This window comes from Homo sapiens, chromosome 3 (genome assembly GCF_000001405.40).
Source record: "Homo sapiens chromosome 3, GRCh38.p14 Primary Assembly".
Taxonomy (NCBI): Eukaryota; Metazoa; Chordata; class Mammalia; order Primates; family Hominidae; genus Homo; species Homo sapiens.
The window spans coordinates 98,441,209-98,449,100 of NC_000003.12; the positions used below are offsets into that span (position 1 = coordinate 98,441,209).

Here is a 7,892-nt window from a genome sequence, read left to right on the forward strand (position 1 = left end):
TTATGTACATGTGCCCCTACCCTGTCTTGCTCCATTTTTTTTACTGCATTCTTATTGAAATATGGATTAAAATCCTTCTCCCAAGTTCTATTTATAGGGTTGGGGTTTTTTAGCACCTTTTTATTTGGTCATTGCCAGATGCTCCAGACTCATACTGTATATTTCTTGCTCCATTGCTAGAATCAGCCAACGAACTCTAGTTCCTTTTATTGAAGAATGGTATTAGAAACCAAGATCTGGGTAACAGGTGTGTTCATTGCTTCTTCTGTATCATTGTTTCTAGGCCCTCTCAGCTGGCAGACTGAAGATATGTATGTGTGTGTCTCTTGCTTCACATCCTCATTAGCGTTTTGTATTTTAAGTATTATTGGATTTTGTCTAGTGTCTTTTTATATGCTTGTTTCCCATCTGTGTATCTTATTTTGTTAGATGCCTATTCCTATATTTTGGTCCTTTTAAATTTGGATTATTTATTTGCTTATTGTTGAGTTTTAGTCATTATTTGTATATATTGAATACAAGCTCTTCATCAAAAATGTGTATTGCAAATGTCATCTCTAAGTCTGCAGCTTGTCTTTTCATACTCTTCAAAGTGTCTTTCTCATAGCAGAAGTTTTTATTTTACTATAACAAACATCAATGTTTTCTTTTATAGATTATGCTTTTGGCATTGTATCTAAAACTCATAATCACACCAAAGATTACCTAAATTTTCTCCTATCTTTCTTCTGGAAGCTTATAGTTTTAGTTTTACATTTAGATCTATGATCCATTTTGACTTAATGTTTGTGAATTACGTATGATGTATATCTAGCTTTATAGTTTTTGTATATGGATGTCCAATTGTTCCAGCACCATTTGTTGAAAGCCATCTTTATTCAATAGATTGCCTTTGCTCCTCTGTCAGAGATCAACTGACAACATTTGTGTGAGTCAATTCTGAGCTGTCTATGCTGTTCCCTTGAATTCTGTGTTTATTCTTTCAGAAATACTATGTTATCTTGATCACTGCCGCTACATAGTGAATCTTGAAATCAGTAGTGTGATTTCCTTCAACTTTGTTCTTCTTCAGTGTTGTGTTGGCTATACTTGCCTTTTTTTTTTTTTTTTTTTTTTTTTTTGAGACGGAATCTCGCTCTGTCGCCCAGGCTGGAGTGCAGTGGCCCGATCTCGGCTCACTGCAAGCTCCACCTCCCGGGTTCACGCCATTCTCCTGCCTCAGCCTCTCCGAGTAGCTGGGACTACAGGCGCCCGCCACCAAGCCCGGCTAATTTTTTGTATTTTTAGTAAAGATTGGGGTTTCACCGTGGTCTCCATCTCCTGACCTCGTGATCCACCCGCCTCGGCCTCCCAAAGTGCTGGGATTACACGCGTGAGCCACCGCGCCCGGCCGGCTATACCTGTCTTTTATCTTTCATTATAAGCTTTAGCATTAGTTTGTCAATTATGAATAATGCTGCTCTGAATATTTGCATACAACTTTGCATATGGACATATCTTTTCATTTCTCTTAGGTATTAAGGTAGGAGTGTTATTGCTGGGTTTTATGGTAACTCTGTGTTTAGCTTTTTGAGGAATAACTTGACTGTGTTTCAAAGTAGCTGAACCATTTTACATTCCCAAGAGTAATGCATGAGGGTTCCAATTTTGCCACATCCTCGCCAAGACTTGCTATTTTCTGTCTTTTTATTATAGTTATTATATTTCATGTGAAGTGGTGTCACACTGGGTTTTGATTTGCATTTCCTTGATGTTTAATAATGCTGAGCATCTTCCATGTACTATTTGAAATTTGTATAACTTCTTTGGAGAAATAATTATTCAGATCCTTTGCCAATTTTTAAACAGGGTAATTTGAGGTTTGATTATTGAGTGATAAAAGTTCTTTATATATTCTAGATAAAACTCTCTTCTCATAAATGTGATTTTCATATATCTTCTCCAAATCTAGTTCTGTCCTTTGCTTTCTTGCTGGTATCCTCTGAAGCAAAAATACTCCTAATTTTGATGAAATCTCACTTATTTTTGATATTTTGCCTGTGCTTTTGGTGTCATATTTAAGAAACTGTGGCATAACACAATGTCACAATATTTATACTTATTTTTATTAGAGCTTATAGTTTTATCTATTACATTTAGGTATTTGAGCCATTTGAGCTAATTTTTGTGTATGTTGTGAAATAGGGGTTCAATTCCATTCTTTTGTATGTGAATAACCATATTTTCTCCTGGGAAAATTTCTGAGACTACACTCCCAAGCTTGGCGGTGGGAACAGTGGCCTCCTTCTCTGTGAGTGACATCCCTGCTTTAGGAGTAGGCATTGGGTGTGGACCATAGCCTCTTATTTTCTAAGCTTGGCTTCCCAGTGTGGAACCTCTGCCTTACCAATGAGGGGGGGCAAAAGTGATTGTTGTTTCTGCATTGATGTCATGCCATGCCTAAGGTATAGCTTCTACCCTATGAATGGGTAGCAGAAGGAATTCCCCAAACTTTTGCTCACACTTACCTGAAATTTAGCTTCTGTAACACATACAAAGAGATATATGGAACTAAGTAAAAAGTACAAAAATAAACCCAAACTTCTTTAAAAATTATCAATATGGTAAAGATCTAATTCAAATGATGGTGTTGGGCCAACTAGGCTGTCATTAAACAATATAGTTAGATCCTTACTTGTGGCAGGTCAGGTTTCCATTAGCAACCAGGCGGTTAGTTTCCATTACCCTTTACTATAATTTTGATGAGTGGATAAGTTAAATAAAGAACTGGAGAAACTGGTGCCTGAGTATGAGGATGGGAATATGAAAACAAACCCATTAAGATCCCACCTGGGTTTTCTCAGACCCTAAAGTGTGATTGAATAGTAATAGCATTCCTACACATACACCTGGTTCTGTCTTAAGATTAAGAAACTAAGACTCTAAAGAAAGCTTTCCAGACCCCAGACCCCCTAGTTAAAGATTAGACATAGATTGAATGAAACTCTTCTGCTTGTAGGTGCAATCCTGCACATAGCATGGAGCTTAAAATGTATGTAAGTATCAGAAAAAAACTTGTAACTTTGAGATGGTCTGGTGAGTTACTCTGACCTTCTCCCTGTAACTGGTTGCAGAAATAAACTCCCATCTTTCCTAGTTTGTCTGCGTCTTCTTATTAGAGCTCGAGAACAAGCAGCTGGACCTTCCTCTGTCAGGGAACATACTCACATTTTACACCAACATATATTTTATGTAAACTAAAAATGTAAGACTCAAAATTAAATACAAATCAAAGAAATAATCTTAGGGAAAAAGAGGACTTTATTAATGCCAGAGCCAGAAGTCATAAATAGAAATAATTAATGTATATGATTCTCTTAAACACTCGCTGTTTACCCTCAATCTATTTCTCAGCTTCCCCTTCTATTTCTCGGCTTCCCCCGGTCAGTTTTGTATCGCAATCAAATTGCCTTTGTATGCTATATTTCCCAGAATTTCTTTCAAATGACTTCTGGCTAGATTTTCCCAGTGGCAGACACTAATAAGAAATTGGAGAGTGGAGGATATAAGCCACAATATTTCTTCACTCTTTGTCTGCTATAGGCAGTGTCTCTAGCACTTAGCTGTATCCCCAGAGAGATTCCAGCTTCTGCAGAATAACCTCTCCTATGGACAGAATTCTGAGTTCTGTTAACACCAGTCCTTCCAGTAGGAGCTTATCACAGGTTACCTTGTTTGAATTTTTACTTTTCACACCCTTTGTAATTATTTCCTGAATTGCATTTTCTCTATTTAAATCGTTGGCAAGGGCTCCGTTTTCCTGAGTATACCCTGATACAGTGACAATGTAAAACTTTAAAACTTCTATATGTAAAAACAAACAAACAAACAAACAAAAAAAACAGTTAGACAAATAATATTATAAGAAAAATATTCAGGACATTTATGGGAGAAAGGGAAATATTAACACCTTTGATGTATAAGAGGCTCTTAACACATCATGATGAAAAAGGCAAACATTTGAATAAAAGGAAAGATCAATAGACATTTATCAAAGAAGAAATACAAATGGCAAACAAGTTTTGGGGTTCTATCTATTTTAATTTCCTGAAGCAAGGAAAAAGAAGAAATATCAGTGTGGCAAAAACTAAAAAGGATGATGTTAGTCAGTTTGTTGGTGGTGTAATAGAGCAGAGACTTTTCCCAGATTAACTCAATCTTTCTGGAGAGCACTTGAGCAAAGTAGATCAAAAGCCTTTACAATGTTCATACCCTTTGATGCAAATATTTCATTTCTATTAGACTAGAGATTCAGGATATATTTAATGGATATTAATTAGTAGCTTATTTATAATAGAAAAATTGAATTAAGCCACATACCCATTAAAAGGGAATGAATTTAAAATAGTGGTACATATTGATTATGCTTAATTATATAATTTTTGCTTGCTGATAAGGACAGATTTCTCTAATATGTTAAGTTAAAACACTCTTTCCAATATGATTCCAAGTTTCTAAAGCAATAGGAGAAATAATTCTGAAAAGATATCAATTAAAATGTCAATAATACTTATTTTTAGTTAGCCACCAAGTGTGTATATTTCATAGATTTTTAAGTTTTTTTTAATATATTTCTGGCTGTGTTTTCTTTTGTTTCATTTTTCCTATGCATGGTGTATAAAAGTTACAATTTTATGATAAAAACTTTTCATTTTGAAAAAATGTAAATACATAAGGAACTGGTAAATACTGGCTTTCTTTCTTCTGTCCGTAAAGCTACCTTCACCTACTGTTTTGAATGCCAGTGTCAGAGTGACATGTCCAGACAGATCAGGCAGCTTGATTCAGCATCCAGTCCTCTGGTTTGAAAGCCAGCTTGAGTCAATGTGATGGAATCAGTGTCTTGCTCATTTCTTAAAAGAGGGGCTGGACTGTTTCTCCCAAACACCGTGGGTACGAAATGGCCAATCATAGCCGTCCCACTTTATCCTCTATAGATGTGCTTTGATCCTGGGCTCAATTAGAGCTTCAGCAAGACTCTACAGCGGTGAGTAATAAAATCAAGCAACAGGTTATAACCAGCACAGGAACTTCCAGATACACCTACACAAGAGGAAGTGAGACTAGGTAGGAGAACAAAAGGGAGAATAGAAGTGGAGAGCAGCTGTAAGTAGAGAGGGATGTAGAGAAGGTGGAGAAATGGGAGGTAGTAGGGATAAACATAGAGATGGGAAGAGGGAAAATGGAAAAGAAGGTGAGGCAGAAGAAAAGGATATATAAAATGAAGAAAAGTGCTGTACATTAGAGGATATCAACAACTAAGGTGATTATATTACACAGGTGGATAAATAACAATTCATCGATACACAGAAGATTTTTATACTATATCCCAAGTGTATTATATCTTAATTTTTAAAAATACATAAAGCCTCAGCTGTAAACTCAGGGTATGATGGCTGAAAATGCCTTGGTAATTAAAGAGTTGAGTCAGAGAGAATCCATTCCTGCTAATTGGAAGCAAAGTAAAAACAAATAAATAAAAAAACAAATAAATAAGAAAACAAAAAAAAAGAAAAGAAAAACTATGGCTTCTTCCAAAAACAATATCACATGGAAATCCCTTTTCAGTCTTTCACCTCAGGGTTGGATGTTATCATCACCATCAAGTTTATGAATATAAATAACTTTATATTTATATTTGTATATTAATATAATATATTGATATTGCTATTTTATATCGATATAAATATAAATAAAAGATTCTAATACAGAGTACCAAAATACATTAAACAGCCCAGTTTATAGGTGCTTCTTTCTGTTTTTGTTTTTTATTTTTACTCCAGACTAGAAAAAAAATTGAAGATTTTCTTGGGTACTGCTCTTGGAAAAGAAATTAAGCTCACTGAGAATTATTAAATCTGTGTATGACTTGGTTAATTTTAACTTTAACTGGTTAGCTGGGGAGATTTGCCTAAATTAATAATATTCAGTGAAAGTTTTAGTAAACCTGAATGTCCTCACTGGAGACTTTATTAAAAGTTTGGCCCCTCAGAGATTGGAAATTGGACAAGTTCCATAACTGTAAGGAGGTTGTGTTTCATTTGTAAGCAATGCACAATGGATGTAATTAGGAACTAGACAGGGATTTCTGGTAAAGATACATTAGTGAGACAGAATGAGAAGAGCATTTGAATTGAGTCATCCCTTTGGGCCAGAGACATCATTAGCCAGCAGAGCTGAAGTTTACTCTTTGAGGATCACATTTTTATTATATGAAACAGAGAACCCTAGAAAATCTCTCCAGAAAGCTGATTTTTTTAAAATAATTTATTTTATTTTAAAAAAAAACCCTACAACAATCTAACCTCAGACAAATCACCCTAGTGCCCTGTCTCCAACGTAATCTATATCAAATGTTTATTTCGTAAAGTATCTCTACACTCTTCAGCGTTAAAATGGTATAGCCCCTTTAGTGAAGGACCTTGAATTGGTTTTGGCCTGAATTCCTTTTAGCACCATCACACTGTAATAATTTAGTCAATAACTATTCCTTGCTCTTCTTCTCTTATATAATGTTGTGAGGGCTTTCAACTACAAAAGCACTCAGTAACAACCATAATGGCTCCTCTTACAGAGAACTTAAGATTTTTACAAATCTCATTTAATAAAACTCCCACAACAAAACCCCAAAGTTTCACTTTCAAAGAGATAACATGACAGTTGAGTAAGTAAGGGTTGAATAAGAAAATATAAAAAAACAGTGCTGGTGAGTGTGTTGTCCAGTCCAATCTTACTTTGAGTTTCTCCAAAAGCAGACTTTGAGAAAAGGATAGGGGTGCAAGTAGTTTATGTGGTTAGTAATTCAAGATGCATAATGAGCATGAAGAAGTGAGATAGAGGAAGGAGGAAAGCCCATTAATGCATTAATAAGTAGGTTATATCTATAAGAAATCAGGGACCTTCTGAAAGACTTAAAAACACACATCAACATTTTTCACCATGCAGTGAGAAAGTCAAAGTCAAAGTACATATCCACTGACCACCCCCGCCTCCCCTTTTTTTTGGAACAGAGTCTCACTCTGTTGCCCAGGCTGGAGTGCAGTGGCTGTAATCTTGGCTCACTGCAACCTGCACCTCCCGGGTTCATGCGATTCCCCTGCCTCAGCCTCCTGAGTACCTGGGACCACAGATGTGCGCCACCAGGCCAGACTAGTTTTGTGTATTTTTAGTAGAGACGGGGTTCTGCTGTGTTGGCCAGGCTGTTCTGAAACTCCTGACCTCGGGTATTCCCCCTGCCTCAGCCTCCCAAAGTGCTGGGATTACAGGTGTGAGCCACTGCGCCCAGCCCCAGCCCCCATTTTTATTGGTTGAGGGTCATTCCCTCAGTGTTAAATTTCTGATGATGTCATCCTGGCCCTTTCCAAAGCGAAGTGAAATTGCATGGCCAGAGTAAACTAAAGAGCTTCTGCATGGCAAAAGAAACTAACATGAGTGAACAGACACCCTACAGAACGGGAGAAAATTTTTGCAATCTACCCATCTGACAAAGGGCTAATATCCAAAATCTACAAGGAACTTAAACAAATTTACAAGAAAAAACAAACAACCCCATCAAAAAGTAGGCAAAAGATTGAACAGACACTTCCCAAAATAAGACATTTATGCAGCCAAAAAACATATGAAAAAAGCTCAACACCACTGATCATTAGAGAAATGGACATCAAAACCATAATAGATACCATCTCCCACCAGTCAGAATAGGGATTATTAAAAAGTCAAGAAACATTAGATGCTAGTGAGGCTGTGGAGAAATAGAACCGCTTTTACTCTGTTGGTGGGAATGTAAATTAGTTCAACCATTGTGGAAGACTGTGTGGCAATTCCTTAAGGATATAGAACCAGAAATACCATTT

The 7,892-nt window shown here is 36.3% G+C and overlaps 2 annotated features.

The window, feature by feature from the left end:
• Positions 4,233–5,432: an enhancer, noted in NCBI's record as "P300/CBP strongly-dependent group 1 enhancer chr3:98164285-98165484 (GRCh37/hg19 assembly coordinates)". NCBI's record gives its function as "activates an origin of replication core promoter dependent on BRD2, BRD4, P300/CBP, MED14 and CDK7 cofactors, with strong dependence on P300/CBP, by STARR-seq in HCT116 cells {active_cell/tissue: HCT116}" and the evidence as "EXISTENCE:reporter gene assay evidence [ECO:0000049][PMID:35650434]".
• Positions 4,711–4,850: an enhancer, noted in NCBI's record as "active region_20136". NCBI's record gives its function as "activates an Ori minimal core promoter by ATAC-STARR-seq in GM12878 lymphoblastoid cells {active_cell/tissue: GM12878}" and the evidence as "EXISTENCE:reporter gene assay evidence [ECO:0000049][PMID:35858748]".